The sequence below is a fragment of the Homo sapiens genome, chromosome 8 (genome assembly GCF_000001405.40).
Source record: "Homo sapiens chromosome 8, GRCh38.p14 Primary Assembly".
Lineage (NCBI taxonomy): Eukaryota > Metazoa > Chordata > Mammalia > Primates > Hominidae > Homo > Homo sapiens.
Genome location: NC_000008.11, coordinates 139418278 through 139434480, shown reverse-complemented (window position 1 = coordinate 139434480; position 16203 = coordinate 139418278). Strand labels below are relative to the sequence as shown.

Here is a 16203-nt window from a genome sequence, read left to right as displayed (position 1 = left end):
TGGGTAACTTAATTAAAGCTGGTTCTCTGAGACTCTTCACTCCGCATCCCTTTATTATCTCTCTTTGCATATTTGCATGCATTTGAAAGTAGAATATGATATACTTAAAAGTATTTTAACACACATCTTCCACTGGTTTTCTCATCGAATAGCCACAGCTATATTATGACCCTTAGACGCCCACACATTTATCACCCAAATTTGTCTTTTCCGCTTGGCACTTGTGATCACTGTCAGTATGTCCTGTGGTGCCAGTTGTACCTTCTGGCCCTTTTGCTGAAACCACTTCAAATTTTCAGTGACTTTTCCATAACCCCTGTAGTCACTGGTCTCTCTTTGGGCTCCAACATGGCTCATGGCACACCACCTTTCCTTCCTCTCCTTGGCAGGGAACTTGAAGTGGCCTGACAATGATTTGGAATGACTTGAACCCTGGAGTGAGGGGATGACAGCCAGGGAAAGAGAAAGACGCAGAGGGAGGCACCTGTCCTCACCGTGTTCCAACTCACCAGCCAGAGCCAGCTTCCCCAGGAATTCGAGTGCTGCGTTGCATGCTTCCCTGTCTGCACCATGTGCTGGAGGGTGGGGCAGCCACAGGGGCTTTGATTAGACTCTTCTTCCCATCGATTTTGTGGCCACCTGACTCGTCATTCTGCTTTGAGACAACATGCTTTCTCCAGGTACCTCTCAGGAGCTCTCATTTCCATGTGACAGATGGTGGTTTTCACTTCATCGCTTTATACACTGACAGCCCAAGCCCATGCTCCCGGTCACTCCCAATATGCCTTTGGCTCAGGGAGGAGGCAAACTGTTGGTGAATAATTTCCTGTGCCTATGAATTGGTACAGATGCCAAGTTATACTCATTTCAAATCATGCTTTTCCATTTTTTAAGGATGGTTTTACTAATTAGACTAGGCAACTCGGTTAACCTAATTTAAGTATAACAAGGAGGAAATTTGGAATTATTGTCATATAAGGATGCTTTCATAATAGTGTGGTTGCTTTGTCTGAGAAGAAAAGGCAGAATGTGGACATGACTGCCCTCTAAGAGAACTTGAAGGACGTTCTGGGGAGAGAAAGAAATACTTCTCCCATGCTGCTCCGAAGAGACAGCCATAAAAAACTGGGTGAATCGTCTAAAATTCACATTTGTTTTCCATATAAAGAAGATTTATTTTTATGCACTCAGATGTTCAAAAATGGGAATGGCTTGAGCGATGGTGAGCTCTCTAGCAATGGAGGTATTTAAGCCGGGATGGGATGCTTTCTGGGGGAATAATATACTTGGGATTCACCTATTTTTATTTCATATAGTGTTGAGCATGATATCCTACATTAAGAAGTAGTGCAGGAGAGCAGAAATAATACAGGCACTGTATTATTGGAATCAGACTCGCCTGGCTTAAAATCCTCTTTGTTCATTTACCTTGGGGCAAATCACTTAATCTCACCAAACCTTAGACTCCCTGCTTATAAAATAGAGGTGGCCTTCTCTGCATTAGTTTGCTAGGGTTTTCATAACAAAATACAACAGAGTGGCTGGTTTAAACAATAGAAACTATTAAATATTTTATTTAAATTTTAATTTAATTTTTAATAGCCTCACAGTACTGCAGGCTGGAAGTCCAAGATTAAGGTGTCAGCAGGTCTGGTCTCTTTCGAGGCCTCTCTTCTTTGCTTGCTGTGTAAGCACATCCTAGATGTCTCTCTATATATATCCTAATCTCTTCTTTTTGTAAAGACCCCTGTCTGATTAAACTAGAGCCATCCTAAAGGTCTTATTTTAACTTAACTACCTCTTTAAAGGCCCTAAATCCAAATAAAATCACATTCTGAATTACTGAAGGTTGGGCTTTCCACATATGAACTTTGGGGTGACACAATCCAGTCTATAATATCCTTCTACCCTCAGATTATTTTTTTGTCTACATGAACTGTTCTGGTGTTCATCCCATCACTAACCAGGACACAGAGCTAGGTGCATCTTCATGTTGGGCTAAAATAATCTGCCTGCAGAAAAGCCTGGCTTGAAGATTTCACAGGGCAGATGGACAAAGGGCTGTAAATTGTACACACAATTTACACACAATTATAACCACAAATCAACTTTTCTGTTTTCCAAATGGGTGAATGAGAAGCAAATTATTCACTCAGAGAGCATCCCATTCCTGCTTAAACACCCTCCTTGCTGGAGAGCTCACCACCTCTCAAAAAACCCATTTTCGCTTTTGAACATTTGAGTGCATAAGGCAAGATCACACCATTGCACTCCAGCCTGGGCGACAGAGTGAGATTCCATCTCAAAACAAGAAAAAAATAAAAATAAATAAATAATAAATCTTCCTTATACGGAAAACAAATGGTATCTTGAAAGATTCACCCAGTTCCTTGGAGCCCACCCTTTGAAGAAGCATGGAGGGTGTGTCTTCTTCTGACCCCTGCCTTTGTGTTGGGATGGATGGTTGAGTCAAGTGTTTTCCCTTTGCTCCTTCCACCTGTTCCCTCGCAAACATCCAGCATGCACACTCTTCTCTCTTTGTAGACTCCATCTGCAATTCCACGATAAAATTCTCCCCCTCCATTATGCAGGGATGAGCTCTGCTCTCTCTTTGTAGACTCCATCCCCAGTTCCACGATCAAAGTCTCCCCCTCCATTATGCAAGGATGAGCTCTGCTTGATCACTTTTCCCTGTACATACCTGTATGAACCCATCTGGTTCTCTGCAAACAAAGGGTTCACATCTGCACAAGGCATCCCTTTCTTAGGAGGCCATTTTTACAAAGAGCCTTTGGAGAGTCATCCCTGCCCCGGGAGGCTCCTGTGGGGTTTATCCTGACACAGTGCTGCATCACTCTTTCATTAGGGGAACTCTGATGAATCACATTTCCTCCATCTTGATTCATCAGGCTAATAATTGTATGTGTCTCAGGTGGGAAAAGGGGAAGGACAAGAGTGTTCTCCACACTCAATAAGATGTTTTTTTCTGAATGAATTCATGAGTAGATGAATGCAAGTATTCAAAAGAATATTATACTATGGGAGTTGGCCTTGAGATTACTTTGTTTATTTCCCAAAAGTTGTTGTATAACCCAGAATGTTTTATTAATTCCAACTTGCTTTCTCCCCCTTTCCTCATAGTTCAGTTTAAAATAGTGAATGTTTATTGAACGCTCACTCTGGGTCAGACGCTAGTCAGTGTGCTTCAATTATGTTGGCTCATGTAATCCTTACACATCCCCTATGAGGAGAGACTTGCTATGGCCCCTTTTATCCAGGGGAAACTGAGGCAAAGAGAGGCTATCAACCTGCCCAAGGTCATTTAGCTAGGTAGAGGCAGAGCTGGTTCAAGTTCAGCCATTCTGGGTCCAGAGCTCACAAGTTAAACCCCACAGCACTCTTTATCCAGTAATGGAGTGTCCAGAATTCACCAGAAGTGTCAGGGTCAGGGGTGTCTGGAGTGCAGAGTTGGGGGCGTGCTGATTAAATAGCCGCCAAGAGGAAGCACAGCTACACTGGAGGAATAGATTGGCAGCTAGTTGACTCGAAAGTCTGCAGAATCCTAGAGTTCAACAGTGTCTTTAACTTAGGCCAACCCTCCCACCAGCTCCCTCGCTCATTTGCTCAGCGTGTTCAAATCCCAGACTTCACCTTCTCAGCTGATCTCTGGATACTAGTCATACCTCTGAGCTTCAGTTTCACCTTTTCATTGTTAAAATAAGTATGTTAATACCTACTTAACAGTCACAGCAGAGTTTCATTAATTAACATCATAAAACCATTAGCACAATGTCTGAAATACAGTAGGTGCTTAATAATTGTTAGCTGCTATGAGCATCATCATCATCATCGTGTAGTCAGACTTCACAGTTTACATAGAACATTCATATATTCCAGTCTTGTTGGGGGTTAAATAAATACATAAATACATACAACTATATTGTGCATTAATATTTTCCCCATTGCAAGTGGTGCTACTGAGTCTCAGAAAATGAATACTTTTCCCCGGGGAAAGTAAGGTGATCTGTGGTAGAGCTTGTATTTAATCTTAGGTCATGCAACGGACTGAACGTCTGTGTCCCCTCCAAATTCATATGTTGAAGCCCAATCCCCAATGTGATAGTATTAAGAGGTGAGCCTTTAGGAGGTGATTAGGGCCTGAGGACAGAGCCTTTACAAATGGCATTAGTGTCCTTATAAAAAGGAGCCCAGAGAGCTCACTCACCCTCCCTTTCTGATGTGTGAGGTTACAAGGAGAAGTCATCAGTTTGCAACCCGAAAGAGGGTCCTTGCCGGAACCTGACCACGCTGGCACCCTGATCCCAGACTTAGAGTCTCCGAGACTGTGAAAAATAAACTTCTGTTGTTTCTAAGCCACCCAGTTTATGGCATTCTCTTCAGCTTCCCGAACTAAGTAAGATAGGTCATCCGTTTCAAAGTCTAAGCTCCTTGCTTTATATTAATTCCTTCCTTTGTTACTTTGCTGGTTCATTCATTTGATAGATACTTACTGACTTCATGCCATGTGATAGTCACTATCCTGGATGCTGGAGACACAACTGGAACAAGATGTGCAAACTACCTGGTCTCCTGGAGCTCACCTTCCAAAGCAGTGCAAACAGTGAGGTTAGTAAACATAGAATGTCATCCGGATCATGACCTGGGATACTGCCCGTGAGAATCACAGCAAGCTACCTTTGATGTTGGGCAAGGCTTTTCTGTGGAGGTGATCTGTGAACTCACATTTGAGGAACAAGAAGATCCAGGCAGAGATATTTCAAGCTAAACGGTGGTACCTGCGGAAGTCCTTGTGCACATCATGAGAAGCAGAAAAAAGGCTGATTCTGGATTTAGGTGAGCAAGGTGAGTTCAGAGAGGCGGAAACGCCAGTGAACGCAGACCCTTTTCATACGAAGGACCAGGCTAGCTGCTAAACTGTTTGTATATTTGTCACAACACTTATTTTCAAGGGGTGGAACCCCAGGTCAAAAGGAGTTAAATTGAAAAAAAAAAAAAAGAATTTTACTGTCCCCCCCGCTGGAAAGCAGTCTGGAGCTGCTTGGAGGATGAGAGTGAGCTTCTGCAGCCTCGCCTCAGGACTTGATTTGAGGATAGAACACCACGTGGCCCTTTCTCTCTGCCCATCTCTGAAGCTTGGCTTTTTTTTTTTTTCTGTTTTTTTTTGGTGTGGTGGCTTCATGTCTCCCAGACTCTCTACCTCGCTACCAGGCCTGTCCCAGCTTGGCATCTCTGGTGGAAAGAACTTCTTTCTTCCAGAGTCCATAATAGCAGCTCCAGGGATGAATGCTGACTGGCCTTATCTGGATCATGTGACCTTCCCTTGGCCAAACCGCAGCTTCCAGGTGTCAGGGAAGAAGCTTTGCTAAGGCACCTGGGCCAGGGCTGATGGGGGAGGGAGGGAGGGAGGTCAGGTGTGTCCTCTAAAAAGGAGGACGATCAAGCTTGCTGGACAAATAGAAACAAATCACCACTACAGTCCAGGACACTACAGATCTGAGAAAATCCATGACACAGGATGGCCACTGTGCAGCTACAAGAAGACCTGGTTGAAATACTTTGAACGGTGGCCTCTCCACCTGAGGGTCCCCTAAAAGGAGCCAGACCTGCTTTGTCCCCTCTTCTGTCCCTGGAGCTGGCACAGAGGGAGGCAAACTGAAGAATCCTGCGAGAGAAGAACGGCTGAATGAAGAAATAGATGACTGTGTGAATGGAAGTTAAATCTGTGCCTGGCCTGCAGCTCCTCTCTAAGCCTTTAATATGTAAATGTGTCTAGCGGCTCTCCTGGAGGGAGTTTGAGCCTGCAGGAAGGGGAGAGGAGAGGGCGAGGGAGCGTTCCAGGCAGGAACTAGCAGGAGCAAAGGCACAGCCTGCTCAGGAAATCATAAATAACCCAGAGAGGGCTTGCAGGCAGGAGGATGGGTGGCGGAGCTTGAAATGGAGTTAGGGCCAGATGGCGGTAGCCTTAATCAGGCCATGCTAAGGACTGTGCATCTATCTGCCAGGCAATGGGGGCCTAGGGCAAGTCTGTTTGTTAGAACATGATTTGACCTGTGTTTAGTAGTGTTTTAAAATATTGTTTTCTCTTCCCTGAAGCCATTTCTGATCAATATTGTTTATGATGATTTCTAAATTCTCTGTATTCTAGCGATGCGTTATTTGCCTTAAAGTGGAGGGGAACAATTTAAACGTACATCAGTAGTTAAGGAAAATCCATACCATGGAATTGGTACAGTATTAACGTAACAGAGAGATGTTACTGACATGAGAAGATGGCCAGGTTGTACCGTTAAGTGAAAAGACGACTCATGAGGAACGATGGGTATAGTAAGGTCTTACTATTTTAGAAAGAAAAGAAAATTCAGTATCAAGGTCTGGAAGGGAGCTCAGAAGGTATACACAGTGAGTAACAGGCCTGGCCTGGGTCATGTTAACAGAAAGGACAGACCCTGTAAAACATTTTAAAGAGGTTTATTCTGAGTCAATACAAGTGACCACAGCCAAGGGAACACAGTCTCAAGAGGTCCTGAGAAAGTGCACCTGCGGCAGCCAGATTACAGTTTGTTTTTATACATTTTAGGGAGACAGGAGTGACAGGCAAAGACATAAATCACTGCATGGAGGTATACATTGGCTTGGCCCAAAAAGATGGGATATCTTGACGAGGCAGAGGCTTACAGGTTGTAGGTGATTCAGAGGTTCTTTAATTTGCAATTGGTTAAGAAAGCAAAGCTTTATCCAAAAATTGGGAGTCTGCAGAAGGGAAGGTTTGAAAAGACAAGGAAGTCCGTTAACCAATACGCTGGGTCAGAGAGACCTGCAGGAGTGTGTGATCTAACCCTTGTCTGGCATGGCCTTAGGTCCTGTTAATAATTTGATATCTTACTGTCGCAAAGGGCCCGTTTTGTTAGTCTTATGTTCTCTTGTTGAACATTAGTGCTGGTCAGTTATGCTTAAACTCCTAAAGGGAAGGGGTGTAATGAGGTATGCCTGACCTCCCTTTTAATCGTGGCCAGGAGTTCAGGTTTTGAGGTTTTTCTGAGGTCCCGTTCGGCAAGAGAAGGGTCCATTCAGTTGATCAGGGGCTTAGGATTTTATTTTTAGTTTACAGTCATGGCAGCTGTCGAGGAGACGTGGTAGGCCGGGGGCCCAAGGATTGTCTCCAAGAGGGCGTGGACTCTGGAAATTGCATAGAAATCAATGCACACATGCACATCTTTCTGGGAAAGACATCTCTTCATCTCTCCCATTTTCAAAGGTATGGAGAGAGGCACAGACTCACAAAAGTGTTCAGAAGAGTGGCTGTCAGAGGAAGACGGCATCCTATTCCAGCAGGCTGACCCCTTAGGATGCTAAGAGGCTTGGCTTTCTTGTCTCTGTGGACAAGGATTTGATTGTGCCAGATCATGGCTGCTATTCAGTGCTCCATAATTGGATTATTTTCGCAGAAGGATACTTCACCGCTAATTGGCACAGGGAGGAGAGCGTCGGGAGCCAAGGTGTCCGGCTGAAGGAGGGAGGGGAGAATTACAGAAGACCCAAATAGTGAGAGGTGCCTTTGGAGATGTTTAAATGGCTTTGAGAGGGAGACTGTCACATCTGGTTGTTGTGATAATTAGATTAGGAAGCGGAGAGATGGAGACAGAGCAGCAGCCAATGCAGTCTGCAGGCTCTGCCAGAAGCCGGAGAGGTGGATCTGAAAATAGACTGTGTGCAGGGGTGACCTCCGGGGGGGGTCACACTTGACACAGCCCAGAGCCGGAGGCCCTGTGGGCTCCAGGACCCCAGAGAGCATCTCGTGCAGCAGTTTCCAAGCCTGGTCCATGGAGCCATCTGAGGATTAGAATCCCCCGGTGTGAGCCTACTTGAAAATACAGTTTCCCAGTTCCTGCCCCGGCATATCCCAGGCTAGCAGACCTGGGTTTGGCCCCAGGGCAGATGGATACTTCACTCTCTATTTTAGTCAGGTTCCTGGATGGTTCTGATGCCTGTTCAGCTAAGGAGTCAGGGACCTAATTTGACATCAGCCTTCGCGAGACCTAGAGACGAGTTGAGGAGACTCACCCAGGACATCACAGCACAGCAGCACCCACACTGAGCCAAGTGTCTCGCGTGTGTTATATATCTCCCATTTAATCCTCCTAGGCAGCTCTGCAATAGTGACTTTATTTATGTCATTTGACAGACAAGGATATTGAGGTTCTGAGAGGACTAGGAACTTGCCAAGATTGAGCACAACTACTGAGTGATGAACCAGAGACAGCTTCACTGCCTCCCAGGATGCTCCGAGGTCCCACTGTTGGGGGCTGCCTGCCGTGGTCCACAGACCTCGGCCCTTGACTGCAACTTCAATTCCTTCCTGCACCCTCACCTCAATTTTGTTTGTTGAGAGAATAAATGGAAACCCTAAACTCCTCATTCCTAGTTCATAATTCTCTCCATTAAATTCTGAAAAGTCCCATCCATAGTGTTTTGACCCAACTCTTGTGCTCTTGGAATAGTGGTTTCCTATCTAGAAGCCCAGTTTTGCCGACTGAACAAAGATGGGGGCAGTATTGACAGTGCTAAGGTTCTTTCCAAAGCTGACATTCCGTTGTTTGGTTGTGGCCAGGTGGTATTATTAAAAGTCATTGTTATTTCTGAAGTGCCTCATAGGGCACGGTAGAGAATTTAGACTTTTGCCGTTTAGATAACCTTTTTTACTTTCATGACATTCATGATGTATGGTGTTGGGTTCAGGACTGACCAGTGTGGGTGAAACCAGATTTTAAAATAAAATAGGCTGGGATACGTATTATTTCAACCTTTGTCAGTCAGGGTCCTAGCAGGAAGCAGATAGCACGCTTAATTTTTCAAATAACAGGCTTATTGAAATGTAATTTACATTCTATAAAATTTATCCTTCCAAAGTGTATAATTTAGTGGGTTTTAGTATATTCAGAGTTGTGCAACCATCACCATTATTTAATGTTAGAAGATTTTCGTCACTCCCAAAAGCTATCCCATACCCATTAGCAATCACTTTTCATTTCCCCCTGCCTCTAACCCCTGGCAACCACTCAACATATTGACCGATTCTGGTCATTTATATAAATGAAAGCATATAATATGTGGTCTTTTCCAACTGGATTCTTTCACTTAGCATAATTTTTCAAGATGTATCTGTGTTGTTGCATGGATCAGTACTTCACTCCTTTTTTTTCTTTTTTTTTTGAGACTGAGTCTTGCTTTGCAGTGCAGTGGCTGGAGTGCAGTGGTGTGATCTCAGCTCACTGCAACCTCTCCCTTCCGGGTTCAAGTGATTCTCCTGCCTCAGCCTCCCAAGTAGCTGGAATTACAGGTGCCCCCCACCACACCCAGCTAATGTTTGTATTTTTGGTAGAGACAGGCTTTCACCATGTTGGCCAGGCTAGTCTCAAACTCCTGAGCTCAGGTGATCCACCTGCCTTGGCCTCCCAAAGTGCTGGGGTTACAGATGTGAGCCACTGCACCCAGCCCTTCATTCCTTTTCATTGCCAGTATTTCGTTGTGAGAATATGCCACCTTTGCTCACCTATTTATCAGGTGATGGACATTTGCATTGTCCCCACTTTTTGGCTTATGGATAATGCTGCTATAGACAACCATGCACAAGTTTCTGTATTGATATATCTTTTCTTTTCTTTCTTTTTTATTTTCTTTTTTGAGATAGGGGTCTTATTCTGACTCCCAGGCTGGAGGGCAGTGGTGCCATCACAGCTCACTGCAGCCTTGAACTCCTGGGCTCAAGCAATCCTCCTGTCTTAGCCTCCCAAGTCACTGACCCAGGTGTGAAACACTGTGCCTGGTTTGTTGGTGTACGTTTTCACTTATCTTGGATATACACCTAGGAGTAGAATTGCTAGGTCCCATGGTAACTCTTTGTTTAGCATTTTGAGGCACTACGAAACCATTTACCAAAGTAGGTACAACACTTGCCATTCCCACCAGCAATGTACGAGAGCTCCAGTTTCTCCACATTTTTGTCAATACTTGTTATTGTCCATCATTTTTCATGTTAATTATTCCAGTGAGTGTGAAGTGATGTCTCATTATGGTTTCATTTTGCATTTCCCTAATGGCTAAAATGATGTCAAGCATCTTTTCATGTGTTTATTGGCCACCTCTCTTATCTTCTTTAGAGAAATTTCTATTCAAATCTTTACCTATTTTTTAACTGGATTGTTTATCTTTTTGTTGTTGAGTAGCAAGAGGTTTTAAAAAGATATATGTATATATATTTTAGATATTAGACCCTTATGATTTGCAAATGTTTTCTTCCATTCTGTGAGTTGTGTTTTCACCTTTTAAATGTTGTCCTTTGAAACACAAACGTTTAAAATGTTGAAGCCCAATTTATCAGTTTTTTTTCCTTTGTCACCTGTGCTTTTATCATATCTAAGAAACCATTGCCTAAGGTCATGAAGAGTCACTCCTGCATTTTCTTCTAAGTGTTTTTATCATTTTAGCCCTTACATTTAGGTCTATGAGACACACTTAAGCTTGAGGAGTGTTTACTGAAGTGAATATTGACAAAGTGTGGGCAGGATGAAGGGAAACAGAAGGGATAGTGCAGTCCCCTTGGGCTAGTGATAGGATGAAGCTTTGTGGATTCCAAGACCTGAAGGGATAAGGAGAAGAAACAATGACAGGCAACTGGACATGGAATGAGTTCTGTGGGCAAGTGTGACTGTCGCAGGAGCTGTGGCCTTTGGTTGAGGAACACAGCCTAGCCAGACAGGGTCAGCAGCATGCGGGGAGAACCAGGAGAATTAATTCCTTGGCCAACCTATCCTTTCTCTAGTCTTGTCAGCTAATCCCCATCAGCTGAACCCACTTAGAAGCCAGGATGTGACAATGGCAACGACAGCAACAAACCTGTATCAATCAGGATTTATTCAGGCAGCTGAGTCATTGTGAGATTAGGGAATAAGGAATTCATTATTAGAATTAGACCTTACCCAGTTGTTGAAGGAGGCAGGGAATGAAAGTTCGAAAGAAAGAATAAGAGGGTCAGAAAAGGAGGTACTAACCAGTCAACCTGATAAGGTGTCCAGCTTTCAAAGTGGTGCTGGAAGGGTTCATGGATTGACCTCCTCTGTGGATCCACAGCCAAGCTCCTGGAGGTGGATCTGGGATCCCTGTGGGTCAACAGAACAAGCAGCCTGGGAGAAGAGCTGGATGCGGCTCGGAGTGAATGTGAACAATGTGGAACAAGTGGGCACTCCTGAATCTCTCTGTTACTGCATCTGACCTCAAGAACCTTCGGAGTATAATGGTGACGGATTTACTTCTGCCTTCCAAATTTGGAATATTTTCCTCTTTTGGATGACTATAATCTGGAATCATTCAGGGAAGGAAATTCTAGGAAAATTCTACCCCCACCTCAGCCAAGTCGACACAGCACAATTTGATACTGTCCATTCCTCATCCATTTGACCCCCACACGTGCTTTTTAAACCACGTTTAGCTTCCAAACAAAACACAAGCAAAATCGTGCTTCTGCCTAACATAAGGCAACAATTCCTTACGTAAGTGAAAGTACATGAACCGTCCCCCCCGAAGGAGAATATGAAGTCCCCCATGTTCACTTCATTCACATGATGGTATTTGTTTCCCTTTTAGCTGAATCACATTTCCCCCTGACAGCCTGTAACCGAATTCCTGAGAGATAAAGTTAACCACTAATAATATATCTTATGCTAGATAGTTTGAAAATGGTAGAGAGTTTGAAAACAAGAGACACAAAAAAATACTTGGTTAATATTATACAAATATATTCATAGAAAAGCAAGAAATAAATGCTCAGAACACTATTACCTTTATGTCTGCAACTGTTCACATGGTTGTTGCAGGTATTTACACATTTTCATCATCCACAACCCGTCACATGTTTCCTTTGCCCTCAGCAAGCACCTCAGGTGGTTGTAGGCCTCCTGGATTGGTGGGGTGATTCTCCTTACCTGAGGTTGCTCTTTAGTGAATGTTCACACATGACACAAACTCTAAATTCCTGAAGTGTATGTTCCATTTTCAATCTGTCTGTGTTGTGTTGCTGTAATTTTTCGTTGGCTTTTATTACAGAATGTAGGAGTACTGACAGGTGCAGAGAAGGTCTCCTGCATTCTGGACATATTCCTCCTTGACCCTATTGTTTAATAGCAACCCCCAATCCCCTTGATAGTCAGAAGCAACTATACCAGCCAGTACAATTATACTAGATTTGCCTGATTGTCAGAGACTGAGGAGCTCAAAGTGTCCAGGTGGCAATCTGACTTCCAGTTTAATGGAATGACTGCTGTGTCCCTTGGTGGAAACATTTCTCCCTTAGGAACTAAACTGTCTAAAGCAGAAAAGTGTAAAGTTGCAGGAATTGATTATAAAAATGTTGCTAGTAGAACAAGAAGGGAAAATATGAAGAACTGCTAATATTGCATCATGATACTTGACCCTGGGAACCCTGGCAAGAAAGAAGCTCCTATGTATCAATTGCTTATTCGGCACATATAACTTGTTGTGTCAAAGGGTTGCCGCCTCACTGCTACCAAAACTGAGGCTTCAAAAAGCCATTCTATCATTTCATAGAGCCAGCTAATTCATGGAACCGTGGTAACCCCAGTAAATCACATGAGCACGAACCTGCCGTTATACTTCATTTGCTATAAAATCTTCTTTCTCGGACAGAAGTAATGAAGTGTGGATTACCATGATGGTGAATAAGATGACTAAGAAGCCCAGAGATGCTGGTTTTGACAAAAGCATTGTGGACAGAAAAAAATCAGTCCATATCCAGGGAAGTTTCTCTTCCTGAGAACCAAGCACTGCTTCTTTCATGATGGAAGTGGTTCTTAGTACAGGTGCACCTTGTTTATTGCACTTCACTTCATTGTGCTTTACAGATAATTGCATTTTTTACAAACTGAAAGTTTCATGGCAACCGTGTGTCTAGCAAATCTACCGTTGCCATTTTTCCAACAGCATCTTCTCACTTTGTGTCTCTGTGTCACATTCTAGTAATTCTCACGTCCGACTGTTTCATTATTGTTATGTCTGTTATGGGGGTCTGTGATCGTGATTATATTGTTACTACTATAACTTTTTGGGGTACCATGAACCACGGCCATGTAAGATGATGAAATTAATTGATACATGTAGTGCACGTTCATTGCTGGTCCCTGCTGTTGGCAGGCTGTGTGTTCAGTGGTAGCTGTAGCCAAAATGGTTTTGATGTTGCTGAGCCCGTGCGTAATTCCCATCCCTGCCACCATGCTCTCTGTTCATGAGCCCATTGGTTAAAGACAGGGTTGACTGGGGAATGAGATTAACTGACATCCACAGAATTCATCATTCTGACTATTAAGATTCTCCTGACTTCCACCTGACTATTAAGATTCTCCTTAATGGAGTAGTATTCCATTGTATGTATATACCACAGTTTCTTTATCCACTCGTTGATTGATGGGCATTTGGGTTGGTTCCACGATTTTGCGGTTGTGAATTGTGCTGCTATAAACATGCGTGTGCAAGTATCTTTTTTGAATAATGACTTATCTTCCTCTGGGTAGATACCCAGTAGTGGGATTGCTGGATCAAATTGTAGTTCTACTTTTATTCTTTAAGGAATCTCCACACAATTTGGGTGATGGATGCACCAAAATCTCACAAATCACCAATAAAGGACTTACTCATGTAACCAAATACCACCTGTACCCCAATTACTTATGGAAAAATAAAATAAAAATTTTAAAAAGATTCTCCTTAACCAAGGCTGCTCTTCAGTGAACGTTCACACATGACACAAGTAATTTTCACACTTGTGCCCATTAAGAGAGGTCTATCCACATAGCTTTTCCCCAGACCACCCTGACACCACATTTCTCATCATCTTACTTTCAAGTCTCCATCTTTCCAACCAAGCTTTTAGTCAATGTTCATGAATCAGTATATAGATATAAACATCTAACCATCTTTTTTTAAAGGCACATTTAATAGCCAGAGGTGCATTGCTTGAAGTTCTGAAAATATTTCACTCGATTGACATTATTTTCCTTTGAGTCTACTCCTGAATGTGGCTGAAGTGTTGTGGCTCTCTGTTTTTGGATACTGCCAGAATCTTCTGCAGAACCAACTGTAAACCAAGCTTGCAGTTTTTCTTCCTCAGTTAACTAGTCACAGAGAATTCTCCATGAAGCAATTTGTGCTAAGTAGAGAGAGTGAAGGCAAAGTAGCAAGAGTAGGAGCATGGGAATCAGGACTACTTGATCACACAATTTATTTGAGCCTCTGGGTCCTGTTAGCCAAATCTTGTAGCCACCGTTTCCACTCAACAATGGAGTGCTGCGGTGCATGACCAGCTCTGTAACTTGCAGGATCAGACAACATCCAGTTAGTGATAGGGTAGCTTAGGTTGCCTAGTAACTTGTATATTATGGTAAAGCATTTGCTGTCTACTAGGGCCTATAGCAAGCTAAAAACTTTCAAAAGAATAGAATCTGAAGAGGGTGGCACAGCTTCACTCTAAATTCTTCATGGATTTTGCTGTGATTCTTCTCTAGGGGCCTGCCAAGGGCTCTACAAACCATTTCTATCTGCCACAGACACATCAAACATGATCAGATCTTCTGGGTTATACCACCTAAGTGCCAGAGCAGTTTGAATGACAGCTTTGACCTGATCCATGCATTTTTTCCCCCTCTGGTTCTTAATCAAAATGGGCAGCCTTCATGCTGCTTGGAAAATGGGTCAGAGTAGCTTGACCAAGTGAGATATACATTGTATCTAAAACCCAAAGAGACCCATTAGGTATTGAAGGAACACAGGGAACTTCACTCCAAAATATGACTCCCTGATATAATGAGTGTTTTGAATTAAAGACGGTTTGAGATGAACAGGTGCTGGAAGAGATTTCCCCTCTCTACGTAAAGACCAGACAAACTCACCGAGGAGAACAATTGTTTTTCCTTCCCTCCCCACTCCTTCTTTGAATCCTCTACCTCTCTCAAAGCACAGGATGAAGTTGTTCTCTAAAGTTCCCTTATCTGCCTGAAGTTTGGGATTACAAAAAAAAAAAAAAAAATCACCCTCCGTCCTTTCCCTGAGTATTCATTAACTGAACCCATTTCATAGGAAGGGAGACTGAGGTTTGTCAACAAATCAGGACAGACTTTTGTCACAAACTAGTGTTTGCTTTGTGGGCCCAACAGACTTTGTCCCAGGCTACTGTATATTCTTCAAGCCCATTGAATTCCCCTAAAAATCATTTACTATCCCCCTAAAATCATCCGCACTTCCCCATCTTCCTTTCCCCTAAGAAGTAGGGTATATAAGCATCTGTACTCTATTGAGATATTGGGTACTAACTCTGTGATTCTCTCCTGTGCACACTGATAAATTGGTATGCCTCTTCGCTTATTAACCTGCCTTTTGTGAATTGATTTTTCAGCGAATCTTCCAAGGGTGAAGGGGGAAGTTTTTCCTTTGCCTCCTACAGCATTTAGCCTTTTAATATAGTAATAGGAGCCACCAGATACAGCAACCTGTACTTCACCTTGGAAAGGATACATTAACATGCCCCAGGCCACTGGACTCATTAGCAATGTCACTGAATTTTCTTTGAATTTAAGATTCTGTGGGTCAGCAGTTTGGAATGGGCTCATATGCTGTTTTTCCTGAGTCCACTTATGCCGTTACAGTTGTCTGGATGTTCACCTAGGATGGGAAGGTCTACAATGGCCTCAATCACGTGTCTGGCAGTTGGTGTCGGCTCTCAGCTTGGCCTCTCTCTATATATGGTCTCTTATCCTCCAGGAGGGTAGCCCAGGCTGTCTCATATGGTAGTCTCAGGTTCCAAGAGAGGGCAGAAGCTGTTGGGACCTCTTCGGGGTCAGGCTCAGAAATCCCACAACTTACTTTTGCTACATTCTCTAGGTCAAAGTAAGTCACAAGTTGGCTCAGATTCTGGAGCCTGAAGGAGTAGGGGGAAATGAATAAATAGAGTCTGCCTCTTTGTGGAAAGAACAGCAAAGCCACAGCTGCAAAAGGGATGGATATAGAGAAGGGAGGAATTTGTGGCTATCACTTGCAATCACCCATAGATTTCATTGATGTAGTCAATTCAGATCAGTGCCTGGGGCACAGAGCAAGGTCCAGGAAAGGGGTGATATCTGG

General features: G+C 43.4%; 2 annotated features.

The window, feature by feature from the left end:
* Positions 5105-5605: an enhancer, noted in NCBI's record as "NANOG-H3K27ac hESC enhancer chr8:140441119-140441619 (GRCh37/hg19 assembly coordinates)". NCBI's record gives its function as "activates a minimal SCP1, AML or CMV promoter by ChIP-STARR-seq in naive H9 embryonic stem cells {active_cell/tissue: H9 hESC(naive)}" and the evidence as "EXISTENCE:reporter gene assay evidence [ECO:0000049][PMID:30033119]".
* Positions 5606-6106: an enhancer, noted in NCBI's record as "NANOG-H3K27ac hESC enhancer chr8:140440618-140441118 (GRCh37/hg19 assembly coordinates)". NCBI's record gives its function as "activates a minimal SCP1, AML or CMV promoter by ChIP-STARR-seq in naive and primed H9 embryonic stem cells {active_cell/tissue: H9 hESC(naive and primed)}" and the evidence as "EXISTENCE:reporter gene assay evidence [ECO:0000049][PMID:30033119]".